The sequence below is a fragment of the Homo sapiens genome, chromosome 22, assembly GCF_000001405.40.
Source record: "Homo sapiens chromosome 22, GRCh38.p14 Primary Assembly".
Classification (NCBI taxonomy): Eukaryota; Metazoa; Chordata; class Mammalia; order Primates; family Hominidae; genus Homo; species Homo sapiens.
Window position 1 is genome coordinate 25480542 of NC_000022.11, and position 20409 is coordinate 25500950.

At 45.2% G+C, this 20409-nt stretch overlaps 1 annotated feature.

Moving 5' to 3' along the window:
* Window positions 5876–5925: an enhancer, noted in NCBI's record as "active region_18786". NCBI's record gives its function as "activates an Ori minimal core promoter by ATAC-STARR-seq in GM12878 lymphoblastoid cells {active_cell/tissue: GM12878}" and the evidence as "EXISTENCE:reporter gene assay evidence [ECO:0000049][PMID:35858748]".

Consider the following 20409-nt stretch of genomic DNA (forward strand, 5'->3'; position numbering starts at 1 on the left):
TTACCATTCATTTAAGTTGTTTTTTTCAAAGAGTTAAAATCTCACTTTGGCACCTAGACTGGAGTGCAGTGGTGTGATCATTGCTCACTACAGCCTCAAATTCCTGGGCTCAGGTGATCCTCCTGCCTCAGCCTCCCAAGTAGCTTGGGACTGCATGTGTGCACCACCACACCCAGCTTAAAGTTGTATGAGATTGCAGCAATTCAAGAACCAGCAGTCTGGATAGTCAAGAAGAGCTCATGTTTTTGTTTGATTTGGAAAACAGGAGAAGATCAGTGTCCCAGCTCAATGCCAGTAGTCAGGAAAATTTCCCTCTAACTTGTAGGAGTATGAGCCTTTTGTTCTATTCAGGCCTTTAACGGATTGGGTGAGAGCCACCCATAGCAGGGAAGAAAATTTACTCAGTCTACCAATTCATGTGTTAATCTTATCCAAAAACGCCCTCACAGACACACCCAGAATAATGTTTGACCAAATATCTGGGCACCCTGTGGCTCAGTCAAGTTGACACATAAAGTTAACCATCACAGTGTCCCAAGTTATATGATCTAATACTGTCCCCTTTTTCTTTTAGACGGAGTCTTGCTCTGTCACCAGCCTGGAGTGCAGTGGCGCAATCTCTGCTCACTGTAACCTCTGCCTCCTGGGTTCAAGTGATTCTCCTGCCTCAGCCTCCCAAGCAGGTGGGACTACAGGTGCGTGCCACCACACCCAGCTAATTTTTGTACTTTTTTAGTAGAGTCGGGGTTTCACCATGTTGACCAGGATGGTCTTGATCTCTTGACTTCATGATCCACCCACCTCGGCCTCCCAAAGTGCTGGGATTACAGGCGTGAGCCACCACACCTGGCTACCTTCCCCTATTTGTTTTAAACACATTTTGTTTGACAGAACTTGCTCACAACCAACAGTTTGAATGATAGAAATGCTTATTTCATAGGGATAGTGAAACAACAAATGATCTCTCTCATAGCACAATGCCTGAGGGGGACAGTGGGTGCTCAAAAATAATAATCATTGATGCATGTTATAGAGAAATATCATGGGAAGAGGATTTTCCCATTTTGCTCCCACTTCTCCCCACAATGCTGACACATAAAATTAACCATCAGTGTCCAAGTTATGTGTTCTAATATCTTCCCCTATTTGTTTTAAACACATTTAAAAACACGTTTAAACAGAAATAATAACCATTGATGCATGTTATAGAGAAATATCATTGGAGAAGTCAGAAAACAGGCAGACATTTCTTCTACTTCCACTACATCACGTTCTCTCTCTCTTTTTTTTTTTTGTGAGGCGGAGTCTCGCTCTGCAGCCCAGGCTGGAGTGCAGTGGCGCCATCTCGGCTCCCTGCAAGCTCCGCCTCCTGGGTTCACGCCATTCTCCTGCCTCAGCCTCCCGAGTAGCTGGGACGACAGGCACCTGCCACCACGCCTGGCTAATTTTTTGTATTTTTAGTAGAGACGGGGTTTCACCGTTAGCCAGGATGGTCTCGATCTCCTGACCTCCATCATGTCCTCTCTTTATCAGGGGTACCCAACGGTTTTAGGCAGATGGGACAGACCCTGCAATCCACAGACAAACTCTATGTTCTAAGATGTTTGGCACAATTATTCATAAGCTCAAAGATAAGGAACCTGTAGAATTCTTCCTTAAGGCTATCGTCTGGTACATAATCTAATTTTGATGTCTAAAGCTTAACATCACTTGTCTTTCTCTTTGCATTTTCTGTAATAAATTCTAATCTCACCCAGACTAATGGATGCCTAGCGTGGTAGAGATAAAAATCTGTACTCAGGAAAGCAAAATGAAATACACATTAAAAACTTTTAAACTAGGTATCCCTGCTACATATCTTTTGAAGCATGGTGGATGTATTGATTTTGACCACTAGCGTCCCTTCCTTGATGAAACCATGCCTCCCTCACTCCCCAGAGGCTGTTAATCACTGTTGTCTGCCCTCCTCACCACAGCGGAGGGCCTGTGACCAGGCTGAGCCAATCCTAGCACCCATGTCAGTGTCCTCTTGGGCTCAGTGATTGGTCCTGAGGTGAACATGTGACCCAAGCAGAGCCAATCCAAATCCTTAGTTGGATTTCTATGTGGAAGCTGAGAGAGAGGAAGAGCGATAGATAGATAGATAGTTAGATAGATAGATAGATAGATAGATAGACAGACAGACAGACAGACAGATAGTTAGACCTTATGGATTACAAGCTGTAAGGATGAAGCTTGGGACTGCCTGTGACCATTCTTTATACCTAGTAGAGGGAGTAACACATGAAAGAGAGATGGAGAGAGAACTGAGTGCCAGCCACATGGGTCAATAGCACATGAGAACCTGGATCTAACTACATTTTCCGTATCTTGCTTAAATTCATTTGAGCTAAAACAATGATCTCTGGCTGTTCCACACTCCTCAAATTCACTTAAAAATGATGAAGAAAGCTACAGACCTGTTTGTGCAGAAGAGTTCCAGCTTGGGCCATGCAGGCTGAGCGTCTCCATGCCAGATGGCCAAGATTCCCACTACCCTTTTGTGTTCTGGAAGTCTGCCCTGGTGCCCCAACCTGCAGATCTTGGATGGAGAGGACTGGGATAGGATACCCAAATCCTGACTCTCTGAGCCTTAGTATTCTTCTCTATCAACTGTAGATAACAGTCCCTACCTCAAAGGACAGTAAGAAAATTAAATAAGATTAATTTTACTACTTAATAAATTAATGGGCTGGCACAGAGGAAGTGCCCCATCAGCAGGAGCTGTCTAGCCCCAATACTCAAAAGTTCCCAGCCTGCTGCTCCCTCTCCTGCCTGACCCAGTTTTTCATCTAAATTTGGCCATTGGCCCAGGCCCTGGCCTATTTTAGGTACACCTCTTTTTGTTGCAGGAAAAAGAGACTCAGACAAGCTACCTTAAAACAAGGGGTTTATTGTAAGAATGAATGGGAACAGGAACATGGAGTGGGTGGAGGCAGGGAAACCCTCAGGACTGAAGCTGTTTTGATGTGAGAATTCTTTTTTTTTTTTTTTCTCCTTCAGAAGGAATCATTTCACCTGTCACATATCGTTGCAGAAAGGGCCTTTTGCCAGGACTGGATGTAAACAAACCTCAGAGAGGTATTGTCAAAGGCTAAGTCTCTCCTGCATTGGTAGAGAGAGACTGGATTTTGTTGTTGTTGCTAATAATTTTGATTCAAGTTTTAACAGCTCTCAGGCCTGTAAGGTCTGCAGTGAGAAAGGAAGTGAGCAGGAACGTCAGAATGGAGGGATGTGTGAAGTGACTGTTATTTATTATCCAAAGCAAGATACTTTGAGAATGAAAGAGGCACTATGAAGAATTACACAAGGACAATAGACATTAAAACAGTCCAGGGAAACCAGGACATAGGGTCGCCTTAAGAGTACAAGGGTCTGGGAAGGAAGGGATGGGGAAAGTGGGTTCTCAGACTGAAAAGAGGTCCAGGAGTGTGGCTGCTGCCCAGAAAGTGCCAGGTTCATAAGTGGAGGGCTGGACAGCCAGGAGGGAAGCACCTGGGTACCCAGAGATAATTTTATATTGCCTGCCCAGTAGGTGGACAACCTTCAGGCATGGCTTGATCCAGGGGCTCAAATGTCAACAGGATCCTGTTTCTCTTTCTCTCTGTACTCATGGAACTTTGATCCATCTGCAACAAAGGCCAATGGCAGCCCACAGCCTACACAGAGGGAGACCCAGGCCCTTCTACTCATCTTCTCAGACTTCCACTCTCCAATGTTTGAAACCATAGGAGACCTCTATACACTGGCAGGTCATGGAGAGAAACTCCCCAGATACTTAGAGTGGGAAAGTGGGACTGAAGGTGAGCATCCCCATCCCATCCTGGATCAGTGTGGGCACACCTCCCTGTGACATGCAAAGCTCTTCATATCACATCTGTACACTCAGAACTCCATACATGCTGTGAGTCTTCCCTGACCTCCACCACTTCCTCCAGGTCTCTGCTTTCTAGTGACCACACCTCTCCTTGACTCTTCACTTTGTCTTCCTGACTGACTCCTAGCCCTGACCCTTATCTCAAAGCCTAGCAATGCTGAGACAACGTTTTCCACTCCCCAGGTAGGCCCCAGAATGCTCTCACCCCCGGGGGATCATGGGCCCCTCCCTATGATAGACATATGTGGCTCTTCTCATCCAGCTTATTACCTCTCCCTTTTATGTGGCAACAATGCCCCAGTATTGCTAGAGTGGGAAACCCCCTCACTCACATTCATTCTCTATGCTTTCAAGGAAGCCATCTCCACCCTGGATATGAGTAATGGAACATAGGACCTAAACTAAGCCAGCCAGCACATTCTGTCTCTCTGGCCACTAACTAGTCTAAGTATGGGTCAATCAGAGTCTGTGCATGGCCTAAAGTCCTAAGAAGAGCCTGCGGATTCTTTTCTGAGGCTCTTGGAGGGATGAAGATGGAATGCAGAGCTGTCAATGCCATTTTTGTTGAGGGATCTGCACATGTTGTCATATCCAAGGAAGTCATGTTGAGAAGTGGAGAAACAGGATCTTGGTGATATCAGTGAAGACCCTGGATCAAGCCATACCTGAAGGTCTGCCCTTGGGCTGTTCAAACACAGGAGCCAATGAATTCCCTTTTCTCAGGCCAGGTTCTCTGCTACTTGCAATTGACAGAGCTCTAACTGAAGATTAGGACCCCTGGCCAAGAGGATGCTCAAACCAAAGGGATAAACAAATTACATAGCTGCTCACACAAAGCTCTGAGCCCTGCCCTCCCATAGGGTAAATTTCCAGGGTCTACCTAAAGCTATTGACCCACATCCTCCTATCCACTAACCCATGCTGTCTTACACAATCTAGTCCTGGCAATATTATGAAGTAGGTTAAGTCTGTTTCTGAAGCTCCAGTGTCCCACCTGACTGCCCTCTGTGCAGCCCCCAGCCCAAAAAGTGGGTCTACGCAGCCTAGTTCATGCATATCTGGGCTCCCTGGAGCTTACTCGCTCCCCACCTCCCTCTGCTCGGGGTCCCAAATCCCACTGCTGTCTCCAAGACCCTGCAAAACCCAGCCCCTGACCTCCCTGTGCTTGTCCTGCACTGTATGCCTCTCACTCTGGGTGCCAGCGATGTGGGTGACTTCCCGGGTCCTTGACTCAGCAAACTCTTTCCCATATTGGGGCCTTTGCAGATGCGGTTCCTCTGGCCAAGAATCCCTTTTCCATATTTGCACCTAGTTATCTTCTAATCCTCCTTTAAGTCTCAGGGGAAATGTCACTCCCCCAGCAAGTCCTTTGTAGCCTTTAATCCAGATCAGGCCAACCCATTTTACATTCTCATAGCACCTTGTGGCTTGTCTCTTGGAACTATAATTCTGTGCTTAGTTGCTCCTTGGGGGCTGTCACAAAACCTGGCACATGGTAGGTTCTCAGAAACATCTGGATGAGTGACTGTAGCAGGCACAAGCCCTACCAGCAGGCAGCACAGAAAGGGAACAAAGATCAAAAGGGAGGTGGTGACTTGCCCAGGGTCACACAGCAAATCTATGGCAGTGTGGACACCTGAGTCCAGACTCTTTGGTGCTCTTATGAGCCCAGAGGTGGCCGCCCATCCCTTTACCCGCAGGTGCTTTTTCTGTTTACATCCAGAAGATCTTTTCTGAAACTCTGTGGCTGCCCTGCTGATGGAAGGCCTGAACAAGTGGCAGAGATGTGAGCCCAGCAGAAGGCATGGCTGTCTTGGGGCCCAGCAAGGATGAGCTGGGTTAAAGTTTATCCCACTTCCTGAATATCTGAGTCATCAGACCAAGAGCAGGTGCAAGGAGTGTGATTGTGTGGGTGAGACCCCTGTGTGTCAATGGCCCCAACATTGGTACAAGGCCCAGAACAAAAGAGGCAGAAGGCCCTGAATACAGTAATTTCTCCTCCTGATGCTCCACCATGATCAGTGGCTACATTTGGGTTTCAATCGCAGCTCTGATGCTTGCCAGCTGTGTGACCTTAGGCACGTTACCTCACTACTCTGAGTCTGCTTGCCTCTTTGTGAAACATGAATATTAATAGTAACAACCTCATTAGGTAGTAATGAGAATTAAATTAGAAGATAACATGTGCCTGTAACTGCCCTATCCAGAAAAGGTGCTCAAATTGCACCCCCTGGGCAATGGCTTAATATACCTACCCAAAAAGCAATTGTAATATTTATTGCTTTGTTTACTTATTGTCTGAACACCCCTCCAGAATGTAAACTCGACAAGGGCAGATTTCTTCTTCTTTTTTTTTTTTTTTCGAGACAGTCTCTCACTCTGTCGCCCAGGCTGGAGTGCAGTGGCACGATCTCGGCTCACTGCAAGCTTTGCCTCCCGGGTTCACGCCATTCTCCTGCCACAGCCTCCCGAGTAACTGGGACTACAGGTGCCCGCCACCATGCCCGGCTAATTTTTTGTATTTTTTTTTTAATAGAGACGGGGTTTCACCGTGTTGGCCAGGATGGTCTCGATCTCCTGACCTTGTGATCGGCCCATCTTGGCCTCCCAAGGTGCTGGGATTACAGGAGTGAGCCACTGCACCCAGCCGACAAGGGCAGATTTCTAATGGATCATGTTCACCAGTGAATTCCTGGCACGGTGCCAGGCACATAGAAGGCACTCAATAAATAGTGAATGGATGGATGAATGGGCAGATGGGTGGGTGACTGAATGGGAGTGTGGATGGGTGGATGAAGAGATGCATAGATGAATGGATGGGTGGATGCGTGGGTGGATGTGTGGGTGGATGAATGGGTAGGTGAGTGGATGGGTGGGTGGATGGATGAGTGGAAAGGTGGGTGTAAGGGTAGGTGGATGGGTGGATAGATGAATGGATGGATGGATGAATGGGTGGAAGGGTGGGTAGAAGAGTGGGTGAGTGGGTGGATGGATGGATGGGTGAGTGAATGGGTGGGTAGATGGATGGGTGGATGGATGGATGGAAAGGTGCGTGAAAGGGTGGATGGGTTGGTGGACAGATAAAAATGGATGGATGGGTAGATGGGTGGTTGAATTGGTGGGAGAGTGGGTGGATGGATGGGTGGATGGGTAGGTGGACGGATGGATGGAAAGGCGGGTGGAAGGGTGGGTGGATGGGTAGATGGATGCGTAAGTGGATACAAGGATGGGTGGATGATAGATGGATGCATGAATGGATGCATGGATGAGTGGATGGATGGATGGATGGATGGGTAGATGTGTGGGTGGATGGAAGTGTGGATGGATGGGTGGATGGATGGATGGATGGACGGATGGATGGATGGATGGACGGATGGAAAGGTGGATAGAAGGATGGGTGTGTGGGTGGATGGGCTGGTGGATGGATGGATGGAAAGGTGAGTGGAAGGGTGGGTGGATGAATGGATGGGCGGGTGGATGGATGGATGGAAGGATGGATGGAAAGGTGGGTGGAAGGGTGGGTGGATGGGCAGATAGATGCATGAGTGGATACAAGGATGGGTGGATGATAGATGAATGCATGAATGAAGGTATGGATGAATGGATGGATGGGTGAATAGGTGGAGATGTGGAAAGGTGGGTGGGATGGGCTGGGTGGATGGATTTGTAGGAAAAAAAATGTAAGCTTTGATTTCTGAAAACCTAGATCTCCAGCCTTGGCCTTATGCTCGTGTCTCTAATTCTCCTCCCTCTCTCATCTTGGTGTGCATAGCCCAGGTAGCTGTGAGTGCAAAGAACAATAGGATAAACATTCAGCACTCTCCTGTGGGTATTATTTTTAGTTTCCATGCTGCAGAGGTCAGAGTGTCAAATAACAAAGAGAGATCTTTTCTTTTCTCTCTCAAGGAAAGAATCGGTCATATCTGCGTGGGCAGCAGTGGAGGTGGGTGTTAGTTTGTTTGGTTTAACAGCTATTTGACTCAGACCTCCTGCCAGCAGGAGTGGGTGACCTTTCCTTGGAGCTCTGGGCACCAAGCCAAGCCTAGGAGGGCAGTTCCCTTTGCTCATGAGCTCTGTTAATGTAGCTGTGTCCTGCTGAGATTCAATTCCCACGGACTTCACTGTTGCCACCAAATGTGTGCATATGAGGGCTCTGCAGAAGTAAGAGTCACAGGGGCCTGGAATGAGAGCAGAGGAGGAGGTGCAGAAATTGAAATGCCAGTCATACACACTCTGTTACATTAACTCTTTGTGGTAGACTAACATAATAATAACCCCACAAAGAGTCTGTCTCTCTGAGTCCACACTCTTTTGCAATGTACTTTGTTGCTTTTCCCCTCTTGAATTTATGACTTGCTTTGGCCAACAGAATGTGGCATGAGTGATGCTGGGTATTTTCCAAGGCTTGGTCTTAAAGGCTGCTGCAGTTTCTTTTGCTGTTTTGCAACTTTGGTTCCACCAGGCTGTGTAGAAGCCCAGTTTCACCTGTGTGGATGAGAGGCCACATGAAGAAAACTGGAGATGGCCCAGTAGACAGCCAGCACCAAATGCCAGACACTGGCAGTTGGCCTCTTCAGCTCAACCAATCCTTTAACCAAATGCAGCCTTGTGAATGAACTCAGGCAAAACTGGGGGAGGAACTGCAAAAGCAACCCAAAGCATCAGGAGCCACAAGGCAATGTTGTCTTAAGGCACATCGTGGGGTGGTTTGCAACCCAGCAAAGGCTAATGAAATGCTTCTGTAACAAACATCCCCAAAACTCGTGGCTCAAATGATAAAAATTTTCTTCTTGTTTCCATCCCAGTCTGGTGTGGATGAAGACTTCTGCTCCATGTAGTCATTGAGGAGCCCACATTTCTTCTATACTCTAGCTTTTATCATATTACAAAGTTCCTCTACTGAATCCTTAGGCAATGAGGAAAGAAAGTGCATGGAAGATGTCCCAGGAGGCTCAGGGGTGAGGCATGGAAGTGACCCATGTCACTCCTGCCTCCGTTCGGCTGGTGGAACTCAGCCTTGTGGCTAGGTGGATAGGAAGAAAAGGGAAATGGCATAGGAAACAACTAGCCAGTTCCAGCCTCTCTTGCCAGACTCTGGGCTCAGTGCTTCGTCCTCAGCATCTCATTAAAGACTCATAGTCACCCTTTGGGATAGGGACTATTCAACAGTCACCCACAGATTTGCACAGCTGTCCAACTTGAGCCAGTGATGAATAAAGACAGATATGGTTGCTGTTCTTTCATGGAGCTTACATCCTAGGGGAGAAGTCAATCCCTAAATAAGGAAACTAATAGATAAATAATTTCAGAGAGTGATACATTCTATGCAACACATATCAGAGTGGTGGTTTAGAGTGAGGGGTGCTATTTTGGATAGAGTGGGCAGGGCAGCTTTCTGCGAGGAGGTGACTAAATTAAGATCTTGCTGTGAAGATGTTTAGTTGCCTGCTACCCTCCACTTCTCCCTGAATAAAACAGCCATGCTCTGCTGCTGAGTTCAGCAATATCCCTGGCTATATAAGCATGTTTCCTAGCTTCCTTGCAGGAGGGTTGGATAGGAGTAAATAAGTTGTTAGATAGACATTGCTTATAAGTTCCTTAAAAGAGGAAAACTCAACTCAAGAGGTGAGAATAATTTTGCCATTCCTTCCTTTTTCCTGTCTATAATGCAGATGTGATGGCTGGTGCTGCAGCAGCCATCAGGCACCATAAGGTGAGATGCTAAGAATGGTAGAGCAGAAAGACACAAGGAGCCTTCGTCTTGTGTGGAAACTCTATACTGCCCTGGATGTCATCCTTCTACACTTCTTTTGTATGAGGGAAATAACCATGGTATATCTTGTTTATACCATTATTATTTGGAACTGCTGTTGCTGAAAGCAATTCCTACATAATACAGGCTGTGTAATGGGATTTTATGATGAGCAAATTGAGACTTAGAACAGTTAGCACTTCTTGCAAAGTAACATAGTGGAATTGAGGAGTTAGGATTTGAACTCAGGTCTGTGGGGCCCTAAGTTCAGAGTTTTGGTTGTAGCCCAGCCTCCCTTGGCTGGGGGTGGGGGTGGACAGAAGGAGTTAGCCAACAGTATCAACTATGGAAAGGAGTGTACTGACTGGATTAAGGATTGCTTCAAAGAGCCCCCAAATTCACTTTTACGAGGTAAATTTTTCCTTCTTGACTGTATGATCCTGATCTAGGTTCTGGGATCCTAACTTCTCTCAGCCCCGTCTTCGTCCACTGCCAGGTGGGTGCATCTATCCTCTTATTGCTGTCTCAACATACTCTTGCAATACCCTCACTGTAGCAGCACTCAGTGAACCACCCTCCCAGGACCCTCACACAGACGTCTAAGCAAGTATCAGCCCAGCCCTTTGCTCCTAGTGCCAGGTTGATCCCAGGGAAGCCAAGTTAAAAAACAAATGCAAGGACATTTTGAGGGGAAAAGTCTCACTGATAGCCAAGGTAATACAGAAGCCAAGAGAAGATATTTGCTGCCAGGCAACCAGGCTGAGTTTTATGGGAGTTGGGGGTAGTGAAATGCATGCATGTCAGTCATTCGAATGCCTCTACCTCCAAAGCATGCTGCCTCCTGGAACCACTCCATTCGACTTTCCCACCCACGATTCCTCAGGCTTCCTGCAAATTGTGGGGGCCTGCAGAAGTCACCCCAAGTTGCTCAATCCAAGAAATTTTCCTCTGAGCTGACAATAAACCCTTAGACTAAATTGACTCAGATTGCACACTCAGGAAGAGACTAGACACACCTCGGCAGAAAATTGGATTTGTGCAGCTTGAAAAAGATGCTCTTGTAATTCCTCTAAAGCCTGCGAGCCACCTAAAGGGCCCTAGACATGTATAGTAGCCCATCTCCAGACCTTTGTCTGTACTGTTCCCTCAGCCAAGAAGAATTTTGCCTAGCTTTTTACATGACTGATTCTTTCTTACCCTTGAGATCTCAGGTTAAATGTCACCCCCTCAAGAAATACAAACATGTCCACACAAAAGCCTGTACAGAAGTGTTCATAGCAGCATTATTCATAATAATCCCAAAGTGGAAACAACCTAGAGTCCATCAACTGATTGATGATTCCACAAAACATGCTATATACGTGCTATATCCTTGCAACACAGTATTATTTGGCCATCAAAAAGGATTGACATCCTTTTCTTTCTTTCTGTCTTTCTTTCTGTCTGTCTGTCTTTCTTTCTTTCTTTCTTTCTTTCTTTCTTTCTTTCTTTTTCTTTCTTTGTCTTTCTTTCTCTTTCTTTCTTTTCTTTTACTTTCTTTCTTTTCTTTCTTTCTTTCTTTCCTTTTCTTTTCTTTTCTTTTCTTTTCTTCTTTCTTTGTCTCTTTCTCTCTTTCTCTCTTTCTGAGACAGAGTCTTGCTCTGTTGCCCAGGCTGGAGTGCAGTGGCATGACCATGGCTCAATGTAGCCTTAACCTCCCAGGCTCAAGCAATCCTAGCTCAGCCTCCCAAGTAGCTGGGACCACAGGTGTGTGCCACCACACCCTGCTACTCTTTTTTTTTTTCAGAGAGGGGGTCTTGCTCTGCTGTCCAGGCTAGTCTTTAACTCTTGGGCTCAAACTCCCAACTCTGTCTCCCAAAGTCCTAGGATTGTAAGTGTGAGCCATCGTACCTGGCAGGACTGATGTTCTGATACATGCTACAATATGAATAAACCTTGAAAGTATTATGTTAAGTGAAAGAAGTCAGGCTCAGAAGGCCACATATGGTATGATTCCATTCATAATAAATGTCCAGAATAGGAAAATCCATAGAGACAGAGAGTAGATTAGTGGTTGTCAGGGCCTTTGGGGGAAGGAGAGAATGGGGAGTGACTGCTAATAGGTGTAAGCCTTTTTTGGGGGGTGATGAAATGTTCTAAAATTAGATTGTAGTGATGATTGCACAACCTTGCAAAAATATTAAAAACCACTGAATTTTGCACTTTAAAAGGGTAACTATTACAGCATATGAATTATAACTCAATAAATCTGTTTAACAAAATATCACTCCCTCAAAGAGACCTTCTGTGAGTCCTCTCTCTGAAGGTGGTGTTCTTTTAAAAAGTTTTTTTGAGACAGGGTCTTGCTCTGTCACCCAGGTTATAGTGCAGTGGTGCAATCTCAGCTCACTGCAGCCTCAACCTACTGGGCTCAAGCGATCCTCCTTCCTCAGGCCTGAGTAGCTGGGAGTACAGGTGCACACCACCATGCTTGGCTAATTTTTTAAATTTAATTTTATTTCTTTAGAGATAGAGTCTCACTGTGTTGCCCAGGCTAGTCTCAAACTCCTGTGTTCAAGTGAGTCAGGAGTCTCCTGCCTTGGTCTCCCAAAGCGCTGCGTGAACCACCATGCCTGGCCTCCTGATGTTCTTTAATTCAGCCCCTGCTTTATTCAGTTCCTCATCCTGTTGGCCACCAGCTGTGATAATTTGGTACATTTATGTGTATGTTGTGTGTGTGCCCATGCTCGTGTGTGGTCCTCATTTCTAGCAGCAAGCTACATAAGAGCAGGGGGCTACATCTGCCTCACCAGAACTGTTTCCCCAGCACTCAGTACAGGGATGGTTGTCAATTGAATATCCGTTGGTTGATTGAAGGAGTCCTGGCACACTGTAGCTGGAAGGGAACTGAGTGCTCATCCAGTCCTTCCTGTTTGCAGATGCAGAGGCCAACTGCTCAGAGGCGGAGGGGCCCACTCAAGGACTCAGCTTTCAATGGCTGTGTTCTTTAATTTTATTCTCCCTCAGTAGTTTTCCAAAGATTTGGGAGTCCAATAAACCATTGCCCAAGTGGAACAGACAGACTGTTCTGGACTTAGCAGTTAAGTGACAAAGATAAATGAGGTTGGGGGGGGTCCCCGTTGAGTTAATAGATGCACGCTCCCTTCTATAGCAATAGACGGTGTGTGGCCTTAATGTCTATAAATGCCACTCATGTAACCTTGAAGACACAGCCTCTGCCGAGCTAGTGGCAGATGCTGCCGCAGGGAATGGGGGTTCCAGCCAACTTGGTTCCTGCTGTGGGACCCGGCTGACAGGGCACAGTAGCCCGGCTATTTGCCTCATTGTGGCAAATTGCTCCTCAGTGAGCCAGCTGGCTCCTGGCCTGCAGAGCTGTGGGGTCTTTTGTGCCTTGAAGTAATTAATTATGCCATATGGCAAGGAAACACAACAAGATTTATAGCAGAGTCAGCGACAGATGGCCCCGAGAGAAAAACACAGATCTGTGGAGAGATACAGAGACGCCGGGCGTCCAAAGCCATGGGAGATGATGTTTGTCGGGGGAGTGGGGAGGGAAAGGACACTTGGCTGGGGTCCGAGGCTTTGACACTTCTTTGAGACTGTCCGTCAGAAAGCAGATCCTTCCTTTCTTCCTCCTTTGGAATTTTTAAATTTACCCCCCTCCCAGTGTAGGGGAAGAACTGGGCTCTGACTTACAGGGTGTCTGTGTGGGATGAGAGAGAAATGCCAATTGAGAGATAGAGAAAAGAGTGAGAAAATCCTGGAGAGGACTGAGTTGGTGTTCCAAGAGCCCACAGGCCCCCTGAGCTCTGAGAAGCTTCCAGCTTCAGTGTTCCGAGCTGCCTTCTGCATTTTGATCTGAGGAGTGATCCACCTCCACTGCCATCATCTCAGTGTCCCATCGACACCTCAAACGCAGCATATCCCAAACAGAAGTCATCCCTTCTCCCTACTCCTCATCCAGCTTCTACTGTGGTTTCTCCACCACTCCCCAGGCAAAGTCCTCCTTCTAGAATGCAAATCTAGCCATGTTACCCCTCGTTCCCCCACCACACTTAATACCCACTCCCCAGCCTCTCCCCAGGGTCTTCTATATCCTTACCCCTGAGGTCCATCTCCCAACATCCCTCCCTGGCTCCCACTTACGCCACATCTGCCATTTTCTTTTTTCCTTTTTTCTTTTTTTTTCGAGGTGGAGTTTCACTCTTGTTGCCCAGGCTGGAGTGCAATGGAGTGATCTCAGCTCACCTCACCTCAACCTCTGTCTCCATGGTTCAAGCGATTCTCCTGCCTCAGCCTCCCGAGTAGCTGGGATTACAGGCATGCATCACCACGCCTGGCTAATTGTTGTATTTTTAGTAGAGACAGGGTTTCTCCATGTTGGTCAGGTGGGTCTTGAATTCCCAATCTCAGGTGATCTGCCTGTCTCAGCCTCCCAAAGTGCTGGGATTACAGGCATGAGCCACCATGCCTGGCCACATCTGCAGTTTTCTATACTCAATATCCTATTTCACACTCTATGCCTTTATAAATGCTGTTCCCTCTACCTGGATTGCCTTTCTTCAGCTGGCTTGCCCAGAAAATCCTCAGTCATCCCAGCTCACAGATCTCTTCCTCTGTGTCCCTTCTCTGACATGTTTGAATAGAGTTAATCCTATGCTCCTTTCTGCTGCCACCAAAATTTGCATATTGCTTACTCATGACTCTCGGCACTTGGTTTTTACAGGTCTGATATCCACACTTGGTTTGTGGGCAAGAACTCTTCTATTACTTCCTTTTTTCTAAGTGTAATACAATGCATGGTGCACATAGTAGGCACCTTTGGGCTTCCCCTCCACCACCCAGTTTTGGGTCCTACATAATAAATGCGTGTATGCTAGAAAGATGAAAGAATAGCTGGGGTTTCAACTCTGAGGCCAGGATGGGAGTCAAAGGAAGAACATAATGGAATTTCTTCACTGACGTTTGCTGTAGATTGATTGCATGGATTGATCCCAATTCATGGCCTCCCTGTATCCACATTTTTTGCAGTGAGACTTTAAAGCACCTCCCATCAAGAAATGGAGTCTATTTCCCCACTCTGAATCTAAGCTTCTCTTGTGACTTTGACCAATAGAATGTGATGGAAGTGATGGCATGCAGGTCCCAGTCCTTACAACCTTTCTCTCACTCTCTTGGAACTCTGCCCAGCTGCCATGTGAACAAGCCCAAGCTACTCTGTTGGAGGATGAGAGACATGTGGGTCAGAGACCTGCTGTCCTAGCTGAATCCATTCCAGACCAGCCCAATCTAGCCAATCTGCAACCCAAGTTTAGCCAGTCAATTCCCAGATAAACAGAACCATCAAGCAGACCTAAGAACTTGTGAGCTGAGTAAATCCCTGTTGTTCCAAGCCATTGATTTTTTGGGGGTGGGGCGGGGGGTGGTTTGTTATGCAGCTATAACAAATACATGATCCAATATGAGCAGAAACCCATTATGCTGTTACTTAATAATTAACTGTGACCCTTGATTGGAAAGAAGTTCCGAATGGGGCAGTCGTTCTAGGGCCTTTAATTTTCCTACTGGTAAAATAAGGAGAGAAGGAGAAGAAAATAACACAAAGCTCTTACTCGTCCCACCAAGTTATGGGTCTTATGGTTGAGCTAGAACTTTTTTTTTTTTTTTTTTTTGAGACAGAATCTTGCTCTGTCGCCCAGGCTGGAGTGCAGTGGCGCGATCTCAGCTCACTGCAAGCTCCACCTCCCAGGTTCATGCCATTCTCCTGCCTCAGCCTCCTGAGTAGCTGGGACTACAGGCGCCCACCACCATGCCTGGCTAATTTTTTGTATTTTTAGTAGAGACGGGGTTTCACCATGTTAGCCAGGATGGTCTCAATCTCCTGACTTTGTGATCCGCCTGCCTTGGCCTCCCAAAGTGCTGGGATTACAGGCGTAAGCCACCATGCCCGGCCTGAGCTAGAACTCTTAACGCCAAGTTGTCCAGTGTTTCTCAAACCGTATCCCAGAGGGCTATTCTAAGGGATATTATCAGATGTTACCAGGAGGAAAAAGGAAGATCTTTTGGCTAAACACTGACTTTATGAAAGCAACTCAAAGTCTCTGATGGAGCGAAGTGTCAGTGTCTTTAACATGCTCATTACGTATCCTAAATTTGAGAAGGAGGACTTGATGTTCAATGCATCTCAAACATATTTTCACTACAGTTCTATGGGACACACTTTGGCAAAAAGCTTAATTGGCATAAGTATCCTTCTGGTACATCGAACCAAGCTATGGCATTCTTGAAAAGCAGTCAGTCAGCCAAGACCCAGGGCTGAGAAATGTTTATTTAGACAAGTGATTGGATTTTCATTCTTGTATTAACAGCTGGACCCGTAAGCTTACATTTTCCAGTCCCACAGAACTTACACAAGAGTCAGCCCTCCAGAGATCATATCTTTTTCCTCTCCAGTCTCCAACCTATTCTAAGCAAAACATTTCAAGTTTCTTCAATTACATCTCACAAGGCTGGTCACAAACTCCCTTCATCTACCTAGATAGTCTCTTTTATTTCTTTTTTTTGTAATTTGAGGAGAACCATAACAAAATTTAAGTACTCCAAGTATGGTATCATCATCTCCCTCATTTAGATCCCAGACCTCTGTTAATATGACCTAAAAAGGATTTAGCTTTTGTGTCCATGTCATTGCACTTTTGATTTACATTGAGTTTTCTTTGAACAAAAAAACCCATGTATTCGTTTAACTCATTGAAGCGTTTGCAAAATTCATCTTGTACTTGTGTCATTTTTAAGACCTAAGTATAAAGCTTTATATTTATCTCTTCTAAATGTCATCTTCTAAGATTTACCTCCTAACTTCTGTTTAGATCTTGATTCTGAAATCCCTCATATTTCCAGTCTCTTACAGAACTCTGCCTACATCATGCAGTTTAGCATATGACCTTTGTAGTGGCTATGTGATATTCTTCCCACCCAGAAACTCTTCCAGTAACAGCACCACGACTTTCCTCTGTTAGATTCCCTTCCTCACTCCCTACAGAACTGTAGGTGGAATTGACTCCACTTCCCTTCTGGGATGTGCATGTAACCAAGTTTTGACCAATCAGAGTGTGGTGCACCCCCCATCTCTGGTTGGTTGACAGATAGTCACATGATAAACAGCAGTGAGAGGGAAACCTTCAGTTTAGTCAGGAGAGACTGGGAAAGTGGCCAGAAATGCCTCATTTTCCTCGAGGCTTGGTGCAGTAAGGATGAAAACCTGGAGCTGCTGACAGCTGTCTGACTGGTGGTCACATGCAGGGGCCTATCTGAGGGCAGTGGCAGCACAGAGGGAGGCTTGGAAGAGAGAAGAAAGTAGGGAGAGAGTCAGGACCTTGTGGCACTCTTTAACCAGTGAATGCTAGTTGAAGGCAATACAACCCTCTAGGAGGAGTTTGGAAAGTTGTCAAGGTTTTCAATTGTCTGGAGGATGTGGTTCCGACTGGAACTCTTTGGAAAACAGTTGGCATTTTCTGTTAAAGCCAAACACATACACCTACCCAATGTCCAGCAATTCCATTCCATTCTTAGGTATATATCCAACAGAGATGCTATGAATAGATGTGTTCACAAAAGAGTTGCAAAAGAATGTTCATAGCAGCCTTTTTCTCTAATAACAAAAAAAAAAAAAAAAAAAAAGGAAGAAGAAGAAAGAAATCATAGTCCTTTAGGGCAGAATGAATCATAAAATTGTGGTGTTTTCATATGATTGAATACTACAAAAAAAAGTGAACAAACAACTGCTTCTCATTACAACATAGGTGAACTTCACAAACGTAATGTTGAATGAAAGCCACTCACAAAAGAGTATACCTGAGAGATTCCATGTTTATGAAGATCAAAAACAAGCAAAAATAACGTATGGTTATCAAAATCAGAGTAGAGGTTACCTTCAGTAGGGGAGGGTAATGACTGCAGAGGACACGGGGAGGCTTCTGAGAGGCGGGGATGAAGAATGTTGCTCCGTCCCTTGTTCCTGGCTCTGGTTACAGAGACGTGTTTTCGTTATGAAAAATCATGGAGGTATACGCTTATGATTTGTGCACTTTTCTGTATGTATAGTAGACTTTAGTAAACCTTTACTTACTAAGGTGATTGGGAAGCAGTCAGACATTTCTGAGCAGGGGCTGGGAATGCCAGGCAATACTACACAATGAAGAATTGTCCAGCAGCTCAGTCTACGTTCTAATGCCCCAGCCGGCATTGAGTTTGATGAAAACCCAGTTTGTAATTATTTCAGCCAGGAGCTGAACTCCATTTTTCCCCCCTTACTCCAAATCTACATGGAATTTTCTGGAAGGGAAACCCTGGTATAAATATAATAGAAAGAGAATTGTGTTTCTTTTTTATCCTGAACAAGCATTGTTTGGAAAACCACATCACTCACAGCCATACCATTGGTGGTAGGCCATGGACATAGCCTGTCTGTCAGCCTAAATTGGAGCTGACATATTCGTGGAGGATGTGGGCATCTCCTGTTTACTGCTAGTAATCCATTCCTCTTTTAAAAGGCGTAACTCATACACAGTAAGGTGCACAAATTTTAAGTGTACAGCTTGACAGTTTTTATAGATGTAGATTACTGCACCACTGCCTAGATCAAGATACAGAAAATTCCCATATCCCTAGCAGCAAATTCCATCATGCCCCTTTCCAGTCAATATACCACCAAAAGCAACCACCATTCTAAATTCTATCGTCATAGATTAGTTTTGCTTGTTCTAGAATTTCAAATAAATGGAATCCTACAGTATGTACTCTTTTGTCTCTGGCTTCTTTCTCTCAACATTAAATTGATGACATTTCTCTACAATTTTGTGTGTAGTGGTAGTTATTCTTTTGCATCGTGGTATGTAGTTTTCTGGTGCATTAATACATCACAACCCAGTAATCATTCTTAAAAATCAGATATTCTGGCCAGGTGCAGTGGCTCATGCCTGTAATCCCAGCACTTTGGGAGGCTGAGGCAGGCAGATTACCTGAGGTTGGGAGTTGGAGACCAGCCTGACAAACTTGGAGAAACCCTGTCTCTATTAAAAATACAAAATTAGCCGGGTGTGGTGGCGCATGCCTGTAATCCCAGCTACTCAGGAGGCTGAGGCAGGAGAATCGCTTGAACATGGGAGGTGGAAGTTGCAGTGAGCCGAAACTGCGCCATTGCACTATAGCCTGGGCAACAAGAGTGAAAGTCTGTCTTGAAAAAAAAAAATCAGATGTTCTATGTAAAAATGCTATCTATGATTGAAGTATAAAACTTTACCTCCCTTTATGTTCCTTTGCCCTCCCCACTATTTATTATTGTCTTGATTATATCTTCTATATGCATTGAGAGGTGTTATAACTTTTGTATCAATCACCAAATTTAATTTAGAAAATATAAGAGGAGAAGAAAAGTCTATTACATTTACTCATATTTTTGCTTACTGTGTTCTTTCTTCCTTCTTGATGTTCCAGAATTTCTTTTATTGCTTCTTTTCTGCTTAGAAAACTTTATCTTTTTCTTTCATCTTTCTTTTTTCCTCCTCCTCCTCCTCCTCCTTTTTTTTTTTTTTTTTTTTTTTTTTTTTAATAAAGAGACAGGGTCTCACTCTATCACCCAGACTGGAGTTCAGTGATGCAATCATAGCTCATTGCAACCTTGAACTCCTGGGCTCAAGTGATCCTCCCACCTCAGCCTCCTGAGTAGCTGGGACTGCAGGCATGTGCCACTACACCTGGCTAATTTATTATTATTATTATTTGTAGAGATGGGGTCTCACTATGTTGCCCAGGATGGTCTTGAACTCCTGGGCTCAAGTGATCCTCCCACCTCGGCCTCCCAAAGTGCTAGGATTATAGGCGCAAGCCATGGCACCCAGCCAGAAAACTTTCTGTAGCCATTCTTTTAGGGTGGGTCTTCCAGAAACAAAATTTCCTAGTTTGCCTTTGTCTAAGAATGTCTTTTTTTTTTTTTTCATTCCTAAAGGATATTTTTGCTGAATATAGGATTCTAGTTTAACAGTTCTTTTCTTTCAGTACCTGAAAATTATCTTGCCATTTTTTTCTGGCATCGATGGTTTCTGAATAAAAATCTGCTATCATTTGAATTTTTTTCCCCCTATGGCTAAGATGCCGTTTTTCTCTGGCTGCTTTCAAAATTTTTCTTTGTCCTTTGTTTTCGGAAGCTTTATTATGATGTATCTTTGGTTTGCTCAGCTTCTTAAGTTTCTTCTTGACATATTTGGGTAGTTTTCAGCCATTATTTCTTTGAGTAGTTTTCTAGCCTCTCATTTTTTCTTCTCACCTCCAGGACTCTGTGGACACAAATGTTAGCTATTTTTTATAATTTCATTGGTCCATGAGCGTGTTAGTCCATTCTCACATTGCTATAAAGAACTTCTCAAGACTGGGTAATTATAAAGAAAAGAGGTTTAATTGACTCAGTTCTACATGGCTGGGGAGGCCTCAGGAAACATACACTCATGGCAGAAGGCACCTCTTCACAGGGTGACAGGAGAGAGAATGAACACAGGAGGACAGGCCAAACACTGATAAAACCATCAGATCTCATGAGAACTCACTCACTATCACAAGAACAGCATGAGGGAAACCACCCCCATGATCCATTTGCCTCCACCTGGTCTCTCCCTTGACATGTGGGGATTATGGGGATTACAATTCAACATGAGATTTGGGTGGTGACACAAAGCCTAACCATAGG